Source organism: Homo sapiens, chromosome 9 (genome assembly GCF_000001405.40).
Source record: "Homo sapiens chromosome 9, GRCh38.p14 Primary Assembly".
In the NCBI taxonomy this organism is placed as follows: Eukaryota; Metazoa; Chordata; class Mammalia; order Primates; family Hominidae; genus Homo; species Homo sapiens.
In genome coordinates this window covers 35,289,007-35,308,706 of record NC_000009.12, presented here as the reverse complement: position 1 = coordinate 35,308,706, position 19,700 = coordinate 35,289,007, and the positions used below count along the sequence as shown (strand labels likewise).

General features: G+C 39.8%; 1 protein-coding gene across 11 annotated transcripts in view, besides 1 other annotated feature; it reads right to left on the bottom strand.

Annotated features, from left to right (window-relative positions):
- UNC13B (unc-13 homolog B) overlaps positions 1–19,700 on the bottom strand; it is a 243,327-nt gene that overhangs the window by 96,629 nt on the left and 126,998 nt on the right. For 9 of the 11 annotated variants that reach the window (NR_170667.1, NM_001330653.3, NM_006377.6 and 6 more), the window contains exon 8: positions 12,777–13,011. Coding sequence is in view for 10 of the 11 variants with exons in the window: in NM_001330653.3 (NP_001317582.1) it covers positions 12,777–13,011 (235 nt within the window). In the remaining variant the exon portion in view is untranslated. Of the gene's footprint in view, positions 1–294; positions 8,542–12,776; positions 13,012–17,602; positions 17,639–19,700 lie in introns of all 11 variants that reach the window. The other 2 variants (NM_001387551.1, NM_001371189.2) reach the window with 2 other exon arrangements.
- Positions 17,488–17,688: a silencer, noted in NCBI's record as "peak7230 fragment used in MPRA reporter construct". NCBI's record gives its function as "represses an SCP1 promoter by STARR-seq MPRAs in K562 erythroleukemia cells {active_cell/tissue: K562}" and the evidence as "EXISTENCE:reporter gene assay evidence [ECO:0000049][PMID:32103011]".

Genomic DNA, 19,700 nt, shown 5'->3' with positions numbered 1-19,700 from the left:
TATACAAGGCAGAGCAAACCAGAGTGAGTAAATATCGGGGGCCCAGCTTTTGCTTTAAGCAGGAAGCTCCTTGTTCCAGTAAATGAATTACATTTGGCAGAGAGAGAAGGGGAGGATGAAAATACCCACACACTGAGTTCTTGTTATTTAACCCCTAATTAACATGAAGCTCGGGTACTAGGAAAGACACAAGAAGGATAAAAAGCAAGCTATGATTAATCTACCACTAAGTCACTTGCATCATAAATGGTCAATTCCTTAAAGCCATTTATGATGCTTGAGTTAAGAACAGGCCTTTTGTTGGTCATGGGCTCCTTGATGTCATTCAGAGTGACTGGCTGCTGTACATTCAAATCAGAGTCAGTACTGGCAGGTACTGCCTCCTCTTCTTGTTTTTCTAGCTGGTGAAATATCTCAGAGACAGTGGAGGGTTCTTCCTCATGTTTCCCTGAAGGACAGGCGGGGCTAGACAGGTTGGCTTTGGTATCCCAGTGTTCTCCAGATGCTGAGATTTCCTGCTGGTTTCCCCCTTCTCCAGACCCTGAAAGCCCCTGAGCACAGACCTCTGGACTGGCCACCAGCTGCTCAGAGGTCCCAGAGGGCTGAGTGTAGACTTTACCTGGCTGAGCACTGGCCCCAGATATTTGAGAAGACTTCAAAGCTTTGTTAGCCTCACTGGAGTTAAGGTCCTGATCACTGCTAGTAACTAAAACTGGAGGGGAGGATTCTGTAGGCATTTGTTCAGGGACCCCTTTGTTCTCTTTTGGCCATGGAAATGAAAGATCTACCTTTCCAAATCCTAGTTTTGAATCACTTGCTAATACACTCCCTTTCCCCTCACTACTTCCCTCAAATAGAGTTGACAACTTCTTAAAACTGGACATTAAACCAGTCTCTGCTGCTCTATTGCCAGAGGGGAGAGGTGAGGAAAAGAAAGAGCTCAGTGGTTTCCCATGGTTAGTAGCAGAGGATGGCAAACGAAGCTTTGGCCAAGTGGTCACATTTGGGATCTCAAAACGTGGTCTTGACTGCTCTGTTTCCTGGGGTACTACAGGTGGATCTTTCTGGGCATGAATTATCTCACAACTTTCTCTGGCAGCAAGCACAGGGTCCTCCAGCAGAGGATGAGAAAAGTGCCCTTCGGTTTCCAGAGTGGTGCTCTGGCTCACACTTGCATCATTGAACAGCATAGTATCAGTTTCTAGTGAACTGGCTGGATGCAGCTCCAGTAAGTCTTGGTTTGTGGAGGCAGTTTGAATAGCTGGCTCTGGCTCAAGAGGAAGAGGTGGCTGAATGGGAGGAGGAAGCTCTTCGGCAATGCAGGTAGGATCTGGATGCAACTGTGCTGGCAGCGCAAAGTTCTCTGCTTCTAACGATGCCTCCGTGTCTGTAGCTTGCAATATCCCCATGTCTCCTTCATCACTCAGAGACAATACTCCTTGCCCAGTATCATCACCCGAGAAAGAAGATGTATTAATTGTTTCAGAACGTTGAGGTTCCAGAATATTTTCAGGAGTATTATTGTCTTCCATTTTGGTTGTTAGTTTAGGATCATCTGTCAAGATATCTGATTCTGGCTTTGCACTAACCACAGTCATTCTACAGTCACTGAGAGTAGATTCTGAACTTAGTGCTGTAAAGGCAGCTTCTCTCCTTTCTGGAGGTACTGATCCTACAGCATCTCTGGAACAACCATTTTGAAGCCATGAAGTAGCTGGGAGAGATGATTCTTGTTTGTATGGCTCTGGCTTGGGACTTTTGAAAATTCCAAATAATTCACCTTTGAGGGGCTGAGATGATACATCAGAAGCAAGAGAGAAAAAGGAGTTTTTCTTTGGAGATTTAGGAGAGGAGAAAAGTCCAGAGAGTGTTTTGGGAGGTTCAATTAAGCTCCCAGAGAAAGATTTCACTTTGGTCACAAACCCTGAAAGCATGTCTACTGAAGAGCCTAATGCAAATTTGTCTTCCTCTTTATCTGCATCTTGGTTCTGAAGGTTCCCTGCACACCCTGGCTCTGGAGAGGAAGAGGCTGGCTCTAGGATCTGTGGTAAGACCTCATCGGGGGCCTTTTCTAATGGCAAGTTCACTGGGTCAGTAGTAAATTTCTCATTTTGGTGGCAGTTAGTACAAGTGTCTAAATCATTGAATTTTTCAATTAACTGTTTAGCATGTGAAAAAGAGTTGGACAGTGAGTCACTGGGGAAGGCTTTGTGGTTGAAAGCCTCTTCTTCATGGGGAGCTATCCCAAGGTTCTCTGGGCCAGTGAGGAATGTTTCAGCCTGTGCCTGAAATTCTGGTGAAGGAGGAATAATGTCTTTTTGCAATTCATTCATCTGGAAATCCACTGATGTCCCTGGTACAATATTGGAACTCAGTTTTTCCTGACAGTCCTTGTCTACACTGAGCTCATCTGCAAGGGAGGTAACCTCAATGGTGTTGTTAATGGAAATACAAGGTGCCATTTGCTGTTCATGAACTACTTCTTGGGCTATGCTATCTCTATGACCACTGGAACTTTCTCTGGTCATTGTGCTACCACTCTCTACAAAAACATTTGTCTTCTTACAGGGCTGGGAGGTCACTGGAACAACAGTTGAAATGCTTTGTTTTTCCCCAGAGGTCTCCTTTTTTTGATCCAAAAAGGACAAGCTGAAGAAACTAAAAGTAGAACTACTATGAGAGGCATCCTTCTTAATGCTTGAGCTAGCAGTGGAAAAAAATGAAGGAAGTGTGAATAGCCCTTCTGCCTGAGATTTGGCTCTTGGTAGAGTAGCAGAGGCTCTGTTCTCAGATTTTTCAGATCCAGTGAGAAAAGAAAATATACTCTTTTTGGTTGATAACTCTGGTTGAGATGAAGATGTTGCAGCCATAGAGAAACTCCAGTCTTTGTCAGAAAAATGATCTTGTTCATTTGAATTTCTCTTGCTCAGGGTATCAAAGGATATTTCATTACTTTTTGAAACTTCTGTCACTGTAGTCACACCACTAGTTTCTACTGAAGACTCCCTGGAAGACTCTTTGAGACTACTTGTTGAAAAAGATGAATTAGGTGACTGCTGGATTAGATGGTCTCTGAATGGTACCTCTTTTTCAGTCAAATCATTACCCTGGATCCCTCTAGTTGATTCCTCTAACCTACTGTCATCGATAGTAGTCTGTTTGTTCAGTCTTCTAACTCTAGCCTTCCCTTTAGAGGAAATTGGTGCAGCAGGAAAGTTCCCAGCACCCTGGCTAGCTAGCTCCATAGGAGTAGGACTTGACCTGACCTCATCCTTAATAGTCATTGAAGAAACAGACGTATTTTCAGTTGTCTGTATAGGAGATACATTGGCTTTAAAGAAATCCCCAAGGGTACCCCAAAAATTTGAAACACCAGAAGATTCTTTCTTTTCTTGAGGTGGTATCTTGACATTTGTATCACCAATCTTTTCTAAGTTTGGTGATCCTTCTTTATTCACCTGAGTCTTAAAAAGATTCAAAAATCCAGATGACTGTTTTTCATTTGCTGTCATACTAACTGACGATTCTTCTTGACTGAAGAGTTTCAATGAACTTTTAAATAATGTTTTATCAGACTCTTTGGATGACTGGCCCTGGGGAAGCTCATAATTCTCACGCTCATCCCCACTATGCTGAGGTGCAGGAGAAACTGAAATAGAGTCTGTTGTAATGATTTCATCATCTTTTACACCTGATTTAGCCTGAGGAGTTGTTTGGCTTACCTGGAAACCAGATTTTAACAAACTTTGCTTTTTCACATGGTTGTTTTTATTTAAAGAGAATTCTTGCCTTATATTTTTGATCAATTCTGGATGCTGAACATTGGATACTATCTGTCTTTCTGAATCCTTAAGAAGACTTTTTTCCACATTTGGGGAGTTACCCTCTAATTGCTTACTCATGATTAATGACTGAAAGCCATCATTTGTGAGCTCTGCTAAATCTGACTGCTGATTCACTTTCTGCATGGCCAAAGCCTCTAAGGATTCACTCTTATCAAACTTCAAAGTACTACCAACTGAGGCACCCAAAACAGAAAATACTGAAGCCACTTTGTTCACTAATGATGTCTCTTCTGCTTGTTGTGAGCCTTTAGTCATATTTTCAGGATGAACCAAAGTGGTAACTTCTTCAACAGAAGACTGAAGCCAATGGAAACTGGAAAGGTGAACTGATGAATCTTCAGCTAGAGGCTGGTTTTTATCTCTCTCTATAATTTGATCTCTGCTTGAGACATGATTACTAATAGTTTGGGGCTGATTTCTGAGATCTAATGTACATTCAGCGTCTTCAGAACCACACGGCCTTTCTTTGAAAGATCTAAAGTCTCCTTTAAACTTTTGACGATTATAGCCTGAAAAATCTAGTGGCTGATCGCTTTGGTCACAACTTGACTCTTTAAGTACTTGTGAAAAGGTTTCTAAATTTAGATACAATGGTTCCTCACTTCTTGGCAAAGCTAAAGATAAATCAAGAGGGTCATCAATTGGTTCCTCTTCAACATACCAAAATATTTCATCTTCCTTATCAAGTACTTTAAAACTACAGGCAGAAATAATGCTGTCATCCAACGTAATACTTGATAGACCATTTGTCTGTAAATCACAATCCAAATACTCTTGATAAGAATCAGGTATAAATAAATATGCATACTGCCCAGTAGAATCAGTGAGAAGAGAATAGATATATTGACCATCATGAAACATATAATATCCATAATCCCCATCCTCTGATGGCCACCACACTCCATGTTCAAGACATGACAACCATTCCTGGTACTCATAACCAAAACTTGAAAAAACAAAGTTTTCATCCATTCTTAATGATTCTTGATCAACTACGGGGCATGTAGTCTTTTCATGATCTGATGAAGAACTTAAGTCAATGGGTAATTCTTCTAGTGAATTATTAGCCTCATTAATTGGAAGAGGACCAGAGTTTCCATATAATGAGTTAGCTGCCCACACATCACCTCTTAATAAGTAATCTTCATTAAATGCTAACTGATTGAATGATTCATATGGTAAGTCACACCAAATGACACTGTTTGGATTTGTTCTCCACTCCAAGATGTTTGCATTTTGATCTTTTTGGCAAAAATTTATCACTGAGTTTTCTGAGTCAAGCCACAAGCAAGCATCGGCTGATAGAAATCTATTTTGATTTAACATATAATAAACTGGCTGAAGTTTTCTGGAATTTTTAGACAAATCTTTTATGTCAGAGTCCCATTCAAAACAGAAAGGACTGTTCATCTCTTCAAAAGCCTGATAGTTGTTTGATTTATTGAGAATGTTGGTATTTAGTACAGGTGAATTTAACTTGTTTGAATTTTCATGTAGTTTTGCCTCAAGAACATGGTTTGGCATTTGCCTCTTAGCCATAGATTTCTCCAAAAAACCTAGCTGAGCACTTGGAGCACAGTGAAGTACAATGTTCTCAGAGGAGGGGTGATGCTTTTCACTTTGCTGGTTTTTCTCTGTAGGGGAACAATAATGATTATCATCCCCAGCATCAGATAATGGTATGTTTTCTTTAGGTAATAAGGAGGCTTCTATGAAGCTAGAAGTTTCATGTTTTTCAACATGGTTCTTCGGGTTCTCAGAAGTCACACATGAAGTAGCAGGGACCTCATCCAAGGATAAATGGTTATCTCCATTCAAACTCTTCATGTTGCCTAAAGACATGAACTTTGCTTCCTCTGGTTTATGATCAATCATACCGCTATTTGATAGCAGGTTAAATATTCCAGAGATTAAACCTGGGGTATTATTCTTGTGATGGGAGTCATCATTTTTCAAATTTAATTCTTGACTAGACAAATTTTCAGCAGAAGAAAACCTATTAAACAGGCCAGAAAGGAAGCTTCCTTGGGTATTTTTCTTGGAAGTCTTATCTATAACCTCATCTTCATTAATTTCATTAACCAAAGTGGATTTGGAAGTGGTAGAAATACACTCTAATGAAGAGTCTGATGCTACTGAAGATGCTGCTTGTATAAGATTCTTATCTTCTCCTAAAGGATCTGAAGTTATATGTTCTTTGGGCACAACTCCAGGGATGGCTAAGCCATCCCTTTCAAAATTCTGTCCTGCTGTGTGGTCACTTGGATTTAATTCCTCTATATTCCCAAATTTCCCCAGATCATTATTAATATTTGTAACTGAATCAGACTTTATTATATTAAATTTGGCATCTTCAGGACTATTTATTTGGTCATTCTGATTAAATTCCTCTGTACTGTCAAATTTCCCTAGATTATCCTGAGTATTTGGAGCTGAACCAGATTTTATTGAACTAAGTTTGGCATCTTCAGGACAATTTACTTGGTCATTCTTATTAAATTCCTTTATACTGTCAAACTTCTCTAGATCATCATGAATATTTGGAACTGAACTAGATTTTATTGAATTAAGTTTGGCATCTTCAGGACAATTTATCTGGTCATTCTTTTTAAATTCCTCTGTACTGTCAAATTTTCCTAGATCACTATGAATATTTGGAACAGAACTAGATTTTATTGAACTATGTTTGGTATCTTCATGGCAATTTTTTTTGCTCTCCTCATCAGTGGTTACTGCTGAGCCACGTAAACTCTGGTCATTAACAGTAACCTTGCTGTCAGTGAAAGAAAATTTAAACAAAGGAAAAATGCTTCCTTTCTCTTTTAACTCCTGTTGCTTTTCAGAATGACCAAGACTTCTAAAAAATGGAAGATTTAGTTTTCCACTAAAGGAAAAGGAATGACCATCTTTCTTAGAGCCCCTTTCTAAACCATCTTCCTCCACCTGGCGAATTTTCACAGGTTCTGACAAACTTTCCTTTGAACAAGTCTCAGGGGAAGTGAGCAAAAACTGGCTAAATGATTTTCTGAGTGGCTCAAGGAAATCATCATTACCTGTAACTTTGTCCTCCTCTAATGGCTTTGAAAATACCTCTTTATTTGCAGTTCTACTGCCAGCTATACAAGGATGTCCTGGAGTATCTTTGGCACATATTTTTTGTTGATCTGGTAAAAGAGACAGATCTATACAGAGTTTTTCTTCCAATAGACTCTCATCATTTTTACTTGCAGAACTAACTAAGTTTGAAGGTTCACTGGTTACTTGGGAGGACAACAAATTCTCACTTGTGGGCATCTGGAACCAGCCCGTAGTTTCTTCATCACTCCCATTTAAAGCAATGATGCTACTACTGTAATTGTCAAGAGTGCCTTCCCTTTTATTTAACTCCAAACCACACTCAACAAAGCTTTCTTTTCTTGGTGGCTTACTCTGGTCATCATCTTTTTTTGTTTCCTCCTTTTCTGAAAAGATCTTCAATGGATTTAACCTGCTGAAAACCGACTTTATAACTGAACTCTGACTCTGTGGAGCCAAGTCCTTTGCAATACTTTCTGTTGTATTCTGAAAGTATAAACTCCCAGTTTTATTACCCATGTGCTCATTTTCAGAGGTTTTTCTATGTCTGTCTATATTCACATTATCATCTTTTTGAGAGGATAATGGAGATTGCATGGAAAGATCCTTCCCCAATACTGCCATGGCTCTGGGTTTAGATCCCAAATTAATTGCCTCTATTTGATTAAGAGTTTCTGTTTTTTCTGGAACTAAGGAAACCAACTTTTCCACAGAGTTTGTTAGATGCTTTGTGCCTGAACCCACTTTTTCTGTGAGTGAACTAAACAAAGAACCAACAGCACATTGTACTCCAGTCAACTCAGGGAAAGAGATGGCCGTGTCCTTGTCATTCTTGACAATAGTTAAAGGTGGTATTTGATCCCCAGGCGTTCTCTGTTCTGCATCAAGAGTACTATTTTGTTTATGTGATTTTTTAGTTTTTGAAAGTGAACCAAATCTATTAATCTCCTCTTCCTTCTCTGCTAAATATTCTGACACCGTTTCTACCAAACACTGAAGCTCATCCATTGTATCAATACGGTCCTCCTTGGGCTCCTCAATAGAGGAAGGGGTTATCTCTTCTATAGAGCACTCAGACAGATCTCCAAGTGTTTTTGCATCACAATTCATCCTTTGTAATGGCAATGCTGAATTTGCTACATAATATTCCTCAGGAAAATCTCCAATATGGTGGACATTGGATGAATGCCATGTTGGTGACTGTAAATTTTCCTGCTTATCAGAAATGGGGGAACCCAGAAGTTCATCAGAAGTACTACTAGTAGAATCTTCAAGAATATCTAATGAGGTAAAATTAGTGACATGCTGGTTTGAGCCAGATGACTTTTCACAGTGCCTTAAACAACTGGACAGATCATAATCATGACTTTCCAACTTAATGCGCTGCATGCCACTCTTAACCACAAATCCATTTTTGTAGGGGTACAAAACTGGGTACCCCATATTTTGTTTCTTTTCAGTATGGCAAAGGGTACAATTTTCAGTATTAGAATATGTACTTTTGTAGTTAGTCTTAGTTTCAGATCTCTCACCATATTGCCTTCTTTCACTGTCTTCAAAATGATTGTATAAGGATTTCTTTTTTCTTCTTCTATCTAGTGTATCATATTTCTGAGCATACCTGGAGAAAACAGAAGTTTCAACCTTAAACTCAGTAGAGAATTCTGTTTGTTGGCTCTGAGGTGGTATCTTTTTCCTGTTCTTATACTTTGGTTGTTTTTGTTGGCTGTAGTATTTATCAGCTTTTGAAAGGGTTCTAATTTCTTTTATCTCTGCTTCCTTCAAGTTTATGTTATTATTTTCTAGAAACTCTTGTGATATTTTCCCCTCTATCTCCTTATGTATATCTTCTTGCTCTTCATAGTCAACATCAGAGAAAGCTGAAATAATCCTAATTTTTTCATCTTTAGCCTGTGAGCCTTGTCTGATGTGAAGGGATAAAATTGGAGGAACAATAAAGCAAAGAAAAAGGAAGAGACAGGGAAAAGGAAGAAAGAAGTTATAAGATTTAATACATGTTCAATGAGAAGACTAGAACAATAAAATTGCCAATGTGATAAAAAGCATTCAGACTAAAAAAATATGAAAAGGAAATCCACATGTTCTTAAATATTATATCAATGTAGTCAAATAGTTTATTCCATATGAGAAAAAGAACAGCTATAATATCAATTTTTAAATGCTTCAACTTGCAATCATTTTTCATTGGTGAGCTTTTTAGAATTCTTTTATTTTTCTAAGAAACAAATGAAAAAAATGAAACATGTTGTACCAATATCTAGAATGTATTTGCAATATTAAAGTATACCAGCAAAATATATCAAGGGATTTCAAGAAAACGAAATTTGCTGATAAATTTTTAGTCTAAAAAGAAGCCAAGCTGTTAACTTTCTGAAAGTTATATTTGAGGATGTGTAGCCAAGAATATAGTCAAACATATTTCTTTTAATAAGAAAAAAATACATATAAAACCATTTTTTACTATCAGCAGAAGTCAAACTTTGTTATACTACAAAAAAATAACAAATTATTTAAGGCCTTATAATTTTTTTTTGAGACGGAGTTTTGCTCTTGTTGCCCAGGCTGGAGTGCAATGGCACATTCTCAGCTCATTGCAATGTCCGCCTCCTGGGTTCAAGCAATTCTCCTGCCTCAGCCTCCCGAGTAGCTGGGTCTACAGGCACCCACGACTAGGCCCAGCTAATTTTTGTATTTTTAGTAGAGGTGGGTTTTCACCATGTTGGCCAGGCTGGTCTTGAACTCCTGACCTCAGGTGATCCACCCGCCCTCAGCCTCCCAAACTACTGGAATTACAGGCATGAGCCACCATGCCCAGCCTAAGGCATTATAATTTGTTGTTTGTGAAATCTAAAGGCTATATGCATTGAGGATCACAGTGAAAAGAAAATCTTTCCCTATACTGATTATAGCAGCAGAAGCTACATGCCCACCTTAAAACAATGAATACTGAAGATAGCCTGAACTTTCTTTCACTTAGATTAAAGACTGCCTTCTTCTGTGTACCAAGGTAGGGATGGAGAAAGAACCTAAAGGCTAGGAGCTTATGAGTTCAGTGTGTTCTTTATAGATATAACATCCAAAAGCATTCATTTAGGAAACAGAAGCAAGATCAAAGCAGACACTTAGTCACTAAAAATCTTCCAGAAGGCCAGGTGCAGTGGCTCTCACCTGTAATCCAAGCACTTTCGGAGGCCAAGGCAGGAGGATCACTTGAACCCAGGAATTCAAGACCGGCCTGAGCAACAACGCAAGACCCTGTGTCTAAACTCACCATGTAGCAGTTTGGTGAGGTGGGCAAGAAAAGGACATCATCCTATGGTCTGGTGAATTTTGTATTGATTGACTGAGACAGAGTCTTGCTCTGTCATCCAGGCTGGAGTGCAGTGGTGCAATCTTGGCATACTATAGCTTCGACCTCCCAGACTCAAGCAATCTCTCCCAACTCAGCCTCCCAAGTAGCTAGGACCATAGGCATGCGCCACCACATCCAGCTAATTTTGTTTATTTTTTGTAGAGATGAGGTTTCACTATATTTCTCAGGCTGGTCTCAAGCTCTTGGACTCCAGTGATCCTCCCGCCTTGGCCTCCCAAAGTGCTGGGATTATAGGCATCAGTCACTGCACCTAGCCAGTCTAGTGAATTTTAGAAACTAAAAGGATAAGCTAAATTGGAATGATTTCTTGAAAACTAACCTCCAATCAATAAAATAATTGATTCAGGCACGGATCAATGGATGCTAATATCATTGAGTAAAAGACTATTGGGGAAACAGAGTATTGATACAGTCTCAGGTATCACTCCAGATATTATTAATTACAAAGGAGAAGAGGAAACTTTACACTGGAGAAATACGGCATATACCAAATTTTTTAACCATGAGATCAAACTAAACATCACCAATAATAAGACAAAGTAGGGGCCGGGCGCGGTGGCTCACGCCTGTAATCCCAGCACTTTGGGAGGCCGAGGTGGGTGAATCACGAGGTCAGGAGATCGAGACCATCCTGGCTAACACAGTGAAACCCCGTCTCTACTAAAAATACAAAAAATTAGCCGGGCACGGTGGCGGGTGCCTGTAATCCCAGCTACTCGGGAGGCTGAGGCAGGAGAATGGCGTGAACCCGGGAGGCGGAGCTTGCCGTGAGCCGAGATAGCGCCACTGCAGTCCGGCCTGGGCGAAAGAGCGAGACTCCGTCTCAAAAAAAAAAAAAAAAAAAAGACAAAGTATGTGCTTCCTGAATGCATGTGAAGGAAACATCCAGCATTTTTGCCAAAAACGTTTAACCTGATTCTAAACATGAAGAAATAATCAGACAAAACCAAACGAAGAGGCATTCTCAAAACAACTGGCCTGCACTCTTCAAAAAAAAAATGTGTCTTAGGCCAGGCACGGTGGCTCACGCCTGTAATTCCATTTGGGAAGCAGAGGAAGGCGTATCGTTTGAGGCCAGGAGATGGAGACCAGCTTGACCAACATGATGAAACCCCGTCTCTACCAAAAATACAAAAATTAGCCGGGCATGGTGGCGTGCACCTGTAGTCTCAGCTACTCCGGAGGCTGAGGCACGAGAATCACTTGAACCGGGGATGCTGAGGTTGTAGTGAGCCGAGATCACGCCACTGCACTCCAGCCTGGGAGACAGAGTGAGACTCTGTCTCAAAAAAAAAAAAAAAAGCTTCTTAAAAGACCAAAAAACCAAGGTAATGAAATTTTTGCTAAATTAAAGGAAGCTAAGGAAACATGAAAACCAAATGCAATGCATCACGGTTCTGGATTGGATCCTGGACCAGAAAGGAACAAATATACATACAGAACATTATGGAGATAACTGGAGAAATTTAAATATGGTCTAAACATTAGGTAATAACATTGCATCATTAAACTTCTTGAGTGTGATCATGATATTGAGGTTATATAAGATAAAGTTCTTTTTCTTAGGAGTAACATGCTGAAATACTTTCTGATGAAGTAACACAATATCTGCAACTTATTTTTAAGTGGTTCAGAGAAAATGTATGTGTATATGAATACATATTAGGGAGAATGAGATAAAGTAAATGTGGTAAAATGTTAACACAACTGGTAAATCTAGGCAACATGAATATGGGTTTTCATTGAATTATGTCTCCAAATTTTCTTTAAGTCTGAAATTTTTTTTAATCTTAGGGCAGGGGAGAGCACATATGTATGTACTTGCTTTTATACTCATAAATATATGACAACAGTCTATGGAAGGATACATAAGAAACAACAGTAGGAAGGGAATTATGAAACAGGAAGAAGATGGGGTGGAGGAAGGTAAGTGTGGGTGGGAAACTCTTTATGCTGTATTGACATTTTTTAACCACATAATTGTTTTATATATTTAAGAAATAAAATAAATTAAAACAAAGTTCCAGTAAAAATACTGAATCTGCTATAAGAAATCATACTGGTTTTCTTCTAAAGTTCCCAGGGAAATATTTAGGCAAGAAGGACTATCCAATCTGTGATTTTTTCTGTTTTTAATCTTGGCAAAGGGTATAACAAACTCACTGAGTCAGGAAGTGGGGCAGATACACCCCAAGTGGGATCGCCCTGATCAGTTGAGAATCACTGATCATGAAGAGAAGTATTCCTTATGGCAATATATAAACATAAAATTCCTTATGGCAATGTATAAACATGTGGAAGAAAAAAAAGACTAATAATCTACACAAAATGACTGTAGTTTGGCCGGTGATACTGCTACACTTACGCTACCTCTTCAGGTTAAAGCATCCAAATTCTTCTTGCCAATTGCATCATGAGACCTGGATATTAGGAAGAGAAAGTACTTTGTGCTCAATACCCACCTGATAGCCCGCCGCTCTGGATAATCAAGGTCATAACTTTGCATAGAGTCATTACAAGAGTCCCGGGAACTGCCTTGAAGTAGCAGCTGCTGTGGCGATCGCACCGGCACAGGGAACTGGTGCACAGAAGCGTTGGGCTGGGAAGCTGTATGGTAAGGAGGTGGGAAGCTGTTGCTGGTCTCACTGCGATAGTCACTATCTCGGTCATCGACGGCACTATCAGGGTCTTCAAAAGCTATGGAATAAGCACATTCAATCAAAGCACCCCAGCTTTATTTAGTTCTTCAGAATTATTTCTGCTTCTAACTTAGTAGTAACAAGTCTGGACCTTGAGAACAAAAGCAAGCTGAGCTTCACATGAGCCCAGTGACGACCTCAGAGCCATGAGCAGAACTGTCTCAATTAATACCCACAAGTTTCTCTTCCTTATCATATGAGATATATACTTAGTTTAATTTTAGTGCTTATTCTTAGAGGAGCTCTAGGTTGCATTTTCCCACTGTAGAATTCTTTGGAATTCTGCTTCTCCAACTATCATAACCATAATTAAAAACTGCTTTTAAATGTCACAAATACAGTCTGGTCCCCTGTTATTAAAGAAAGGGGAAAGGAGCAGAGGTTTAAAAAAGTTAGCTTTTTCATATCTTGGGGAAAAAAACCCCAAAACTTTTATTTAACGTTGTCTTGGTGTTTTCAGACTTTTAAACATATGGATTGAACCAAATAAGCAGGTCTAACATCAGAAGCTGGTCCTGGAAATCAGGAAGGTCAAAGCCAAGGCCTGGAAATCAAGTCAAAGGCTCTAGATGCAGCTGAGAACAGCAGCACTCTTACTGTGCTGCTGCAGTGTTAGCTTTTCCTAACAATTCCTGTCAAGCACCTACACCCTAGGCTCAGAATTCCCATCCAGAGGATGGGCTGAGAGAAGAAAAAACTTATGCACTGCCAATGGGATCTTGCTGACAATGCAGCCAAGTTTATCCAACAGCAGTGACTACAATTTCGTAGAATTATTTGTCCTTCAGACCAGCACCTGACTGGCTACAGTTTTTTTGTTAAAGTTAACTAAAAAGACCACACTTACAAATCATCGCTGTGCTTGGAAAGGGAGCTCAACCTAAGAGTGCTTTGAAGCCTGTTTTACAGAGAGGAAGTCGTATCTGACACCATACCCTTATGTGTATGATTAACAGGGTTCCACGTGTCCTTTCTTGACAAGTTCCTATTTGGCTTACAATGAGGAAAAGGAATGTTCACCATCCCAAAATGGAGATACTTTTAGCACAAAATGAACTCATGTTAGTAATTTTAAAAGATTATCTTGGGGCCAGGCGCGGTGGCTCCCACCTGTAATCCCAGCACTTTGGGAGTCCAAGGCAGGTGGATCACCTGAGGTCAGGAGTTCAAGACCAGCCTGGCCAACATGGTGGAACCCCATCTCTATAAAAATACAAAAATTAGCCGGGCATGATGGCAGATGCCTGTAATCCTAGCTACTAGGGAGGCTTAGGCGGAAGAATCGCTTGAACCCAGAGGGTGGAAGTTGCAGTGAGCTAAGATCATGCCATTGCATTCCAGCCTGGGCGACAGAGCAAGGCTCCGTCTCAAAAAAAAAAAAAGATAATCTTGTAGCAATGTGGGCAGTGGAAACCTCCTGAAGACCGTAAGATTAGGCTTTTACAATTGCTCAGGCAGGAGATAAGGACCTGCATCTATACAGCGGAAACAGAAAAGAGTTAATGAACTAGAAAAAGAAAATTCCAGACAGAATTGTAAAACATGGGGCCATATTGAAGATAATAGGGAAATGACCCCCCTTGGCTTCATTAGACAAGTTGGTAGATAAGAATTCCACTAAAAGAGAGCACAAACATGTGGGTTTTATAGGTAAGGAAGAAAATCTGAGCATTGGACTCTCAATAACATTTGTGGGTACAGATGGGAGACAGGGGTAAGATGATCTTATGAGCTTTTCCTATTTGAGTTTATGGTTACATGTGAACATAAAAAAGGAGAGGAGAGGGATTAGAACTCCGGGAGGAAAAATATCAACATGAGAAAGAAGCTAATGTTCAAATGGTCAGGAACAAGTATTAGTTAATACTTGACATTTGGAGCAAGTAGTCCACTGACCAGGGCAGGAGTAGCAAAGCTTGAAAACAAAAGCAAACAAGAGGGATGCAAAGCATTCTGCTTACAAAGCATTCTGATGATATATTAAGAAAAAGAGACTTTGGAAGCACTGTTTTTAGCCCTTGATGCATCTGTTGTTCTGAAGACAAGAAAAATAGGACCCAGAGACAAAACCATATGCCACTCAGACTTAATTCTTTCTGAACCCACAGAAAGAGCAAGTCTGTAGAAGTCAGTGCTGGACTATTCATGCATACAGATGAAGGGGCAGAGGCAACAAAGGAGACAAAACCAGAGGTCTACTAAACTCTGGCAGGAAAAGTATTAGCACATAACCCAGAGAAACAAGATTCAGTCTCCAAGGAGGCAACTGCGACAGACAATCCTATCACTTTTGAGGCCAGAGAGGGCAGCTCAGCCAGAGTTAGAAGCCCACAACCCAAATCCACAGGTTTTACTTTCTCCCTGCATGTGACCTATTACTCCTAAATAATAGTCTGCTTTTTGTTTATTTTGCTAGGCTAAACAGAGATACTCTACAACTTTACTAAAGGCTAACAACATTTCTACACTAAAGAAATAAAGGGCAAATATTAAGAAACAAAGCATCCATGGAAAGAAGAGGTTGGGAGTAGAAGAGAATATGAAAAGCAGGAGAGGGCAAGAGAGAGAATATACTAAGGAATAAAGTGAGACAAAGGAGAGAAACAGAAAAAAGTAGTGAGAGGCAATCACCTCCAGTTTTCCTAAAAAGTAAACCTCCTGGCACCAAGCCTGATTAGAAACTAAAAAGGGAAATTCAGGAAAATATGTAACACTTCAATTTGAATTAAATAACTGTGTTTTTAATGTGTCACTGACGATCTCTTACTGCCTCCATAATCTATCCCACAGCACCATGTCGGCTAGACGAGAAAAGCCCTGGCTTTGCAGAGAGAAACTGAGTGCAGGTTTGGTTGGCTCAGCCTAAGAAGGAACTAGAGAGCCAGTTTGAGGGTAACAGTTGAAAAGCCCCTGGTAAAGTCTATTTGAAAGATGGAAAATTAAAAGGCTGGGAACACCTACTCACTCAAATATTCACTGACTGCCTACATATCCAAAGCTAAACAACACAGAAGACTCAGAATATAGAGTCAGTCTAATAGGAGACAGAATATATAGACACAAATATTGAATTGCTATGCAAGGCAGTTAGTACAAACCAAGTGCTATGAATTAAAAGTAAAATCACTTCCTGATAGGGTAACTAAGGAAGCTTTAAGGAGGAGATGGCTTTGAAGAATTGGTTCATTTTTAATAGGTGAAGATTGGAGGCAGAAGGGAAATATCTTCTAGAATTTGGATAAAAGCAGTGGCATGATGAAAGGCCCAGTGGTAGGAAAGGCTATATATTTTTGAGAAACCATTTTGTAGTTCATTTGATAGGTAAATAAAAAGACATAGAGGAAATTATGGAAAATTAAAAACCTGCAAAAGTAGGCTGGGAAGGTCATCTAACCTGGGGCAAACAAAGATGGGCCTCCAAGCACACAGCAGGCACTCAAACAAAATCCAGTGAAATACAGAAAAATGAGGCCCTCTAGTATGTGGTATTCCTGGATTGAGTCTTGGATTGGTCTTTAAATCCACAGCACACCTATTAATAGAACTTCAGCAACCAAAGAAAGGAAAGAAAATTCATTCACATTTTTTTCATGGCTTAGTTGCTTTTTCTACTTGAAAACCTTAACTTACCTGAGCTCTGTTAACCCATTTATGCCTGAGGTTGCAATTTATGCTTGAGGTCACCTACTGCTTGGCGATGACCTTGAGCAGTAGGATATAAATAACTCCCACATGCTTAGAGTTCCAATAATGGAACACTAGGCATAAATGGGTCAAGCTGCTTTTGAGTACTTTCCTAATAGCAGAAGTACTCAGGATTCAAATCACAGAAAGCACAGACTTCATGAGAAATTCCAGTGACAGGACAAACTTTGGCCCGTCTTAGTACCTACTGGATACCTAATCACTGAGACTCAACCAGATCCTGTAAGATGGGTAACACAACCAGTAATGTCAGCCTAGGGCTACATGTTTTGCCACAAAGAACTGGCTGCCCACTCTCTAAGCTCTAGAACAAAGGTGGCCTTAGCTGGGCTGCTTCAGGGAAAGCCAAGCCATATCCTCAGCCTCTTGTTTCCTTAACAAAAGCAGGTTTTTGGCTGAAATGGCATTCACAATTTGCTAGACCAATAAACCCAAGACAGCAGTCTGTTCTGCATATCCTCCTAGTCAAGAAAATCAGCCAAATCAGAATGCACACCAATCACCTTGACTCTAGTTCATCCTAGAATGAACCTTCTCCTTCTGGTCACTGCACTCCTTAGCCAAAGGGACCAAAGGAGAAGGCCACACTAGGGGGCTGATGCTACTACTTGCCTCTGGGGAATAAAAATTAGGAGATCTTGTCAGGATTATGACTGGGACTTTGGTTTGAAATTTGTAACACACATAAACACACACAAAGTCGTCAAGAAACCAGCCTGAAAGGATATAACATTCCACCACAGGTCATTGTCTCCCGATATTTAAGTAGGAGAGGAGAGGGAAATGGAAGTCTATGCATGAATATCCAGCTTCACAGTTCAGAGGGAGTATGTACTTTGTGGGTAAGATCAAGAAAATGATAAGGAATTTCAATTCTTACGTACTCTGTTGTTCTCCCCAGCCCAAATAGGTCCAGTGACCTAAGAAAACCACAAAGAAGCAGCAGATAATTTTTGAAAATACTTTTTTGAAGGAATTCAAAAGTCATTTCCCCATCTCAGCAATTATTATGTGCCTTACCTTACTTAAGCCTACCTCACTTGTATTCTACTAACTTTACATAACATAGAGTTTCTGCCTTCTACCAAATGTGAGACAAATCTACAAAGTATTCTTGTTCTCTGCCTTTCACTATAGAGAGAGACTAACAACAACCCAAAAAACCCACAGAACAACAACAACAAAAAATTACTTCTTCCATATTGTTTTAAGCCCCCTTCTGGTCTAGGTCTCTCTCAGAACACCATCATTTAGGAGCTCATGTCTTTCCTTTGTCAAAATAAGAAAAATTAGATCTCTGTCTCTAAGAAACCCTTCCTTATCTCTGTGTTCACCAAACCTGAGCCCATCACAATAAATCTATGAGAAGCTAAGCCCTGATACCATGGGTAAGGGAGTAATTCCCTTGTCTGGGAGCGAAGATAGTCAATTTTGCTGTTCTCTACTGAAAGTTAAAAGGTCAAAGAATGGCAATGTTTATCTCTTAAGAAATTAATCTTCTAATTAAGCTCCCAGACTCCCTTACCCATGGTATCAGGGCTTAGCTTCTCATAGATTTATTGTGATAGGCTCAGGTTTGGTGAACGCAGAGACAAGGAAGGGTTTCTTAGAGACAGAGATCTAATTTTTCTTATTTTGACAAAGGAAAGACATATGAGCTCCTAAATGATGGTGTTCTGAGAGAGACCTAGATCAGAAAGGGGCTTAAAACAATATGTAATAAACCACTCTAGCCTATTGGGTCCTTAAAGAGAGCCACTTCTTCTGAATTACCTATAAATTTTTAATAAAATCCACTAAAACACAGAAGCTTTGAAGGACAGGAGAAAATTGAAAATATTTTTTATTCATTTTTCAAAATCAAAAATCCACTATTAATTAAGTCCTATCCCACACCCAAATTGAATTTCAAGAAACTAATTGTGATAAAGAAATCATTAAAAATAGGCCTTTAATCTCAAGAAACAAGAAGTAAATAGCTTCATAATTAAGAATATGGGTTTTTTATTTTTTGAGACAGAGTCTCACTCTGTCACCCAGGTTGGAGTGCGGTGACACGATCTCGGCTCACTGCAACCTCTGTCCCCAGGTTCAAGTGATTCTCATGCCTCAGGCTCCCAAGAAGCTGGGATTACAGGCGCCTACCAACACGCCTGGCTAATTTTTGTATTTTCAGTAGAGACAGGGTTTCACCATGTTGGCCAGGCTGGCCTCGAACTCCTAACCTCCAGTGATCCACCCGCCTCAGCCTCCCAAAGTGCTGGGATTACAGGAGTGAGCCACCATGCTCAGCCAAGAATATGGGTTTTAAAGTCAACATTCAGTTCTTCTGGCTCTGCGATTTACTAGCTATATGATCTTGAGAAAGTTATTACAGATATTTCCTCATCTGTAATATGAGAATAACAATAACACAAGTGTCACTGGGTTACTGTAAAGATCATACAGGAAAAAATATGTAAAATGCTAGGCACAGTCCCTGGAAGATGGTGAGCAACTAGCATTTGTTGTTATTTTGTCACGTTACCAGGTTTTTGCTTGCCTTACAGAGTCCTAATAAATAAGAAGCAGAAAAAAAGACACAACTCCTAGAATTGCACCCTCTGACAGTCCCAAGGTCTGCTAAGGAATCTTCAATGTGGGGTCCACAAGGCCCACAAACTGGTTCTGAGTGTGTGACTCCCTTGAAAGTCTACAGTAAGACTCGAAATTCTAGGAACATCATATGATGCCAACCCAGGCTGTTTTCAGTACTTGAGCTAATCCTCAATCCTGGGCATACGGGACTACTAATCAATCACAGACTTTAATTTAGTGATACCCTGACAGCCAATTTTCTTCCTAGGCACTTACTTTATTCCGACCACCTATGTCTCTTCTTCTCACCTCTCAGAAAGGATATGTTGGCTTAGTGTGCCATTTTAAAATTGTAATAATTTATTTCACTTTCTAACCATGGGGGGAGGGGAGGCAAAAAAAAAA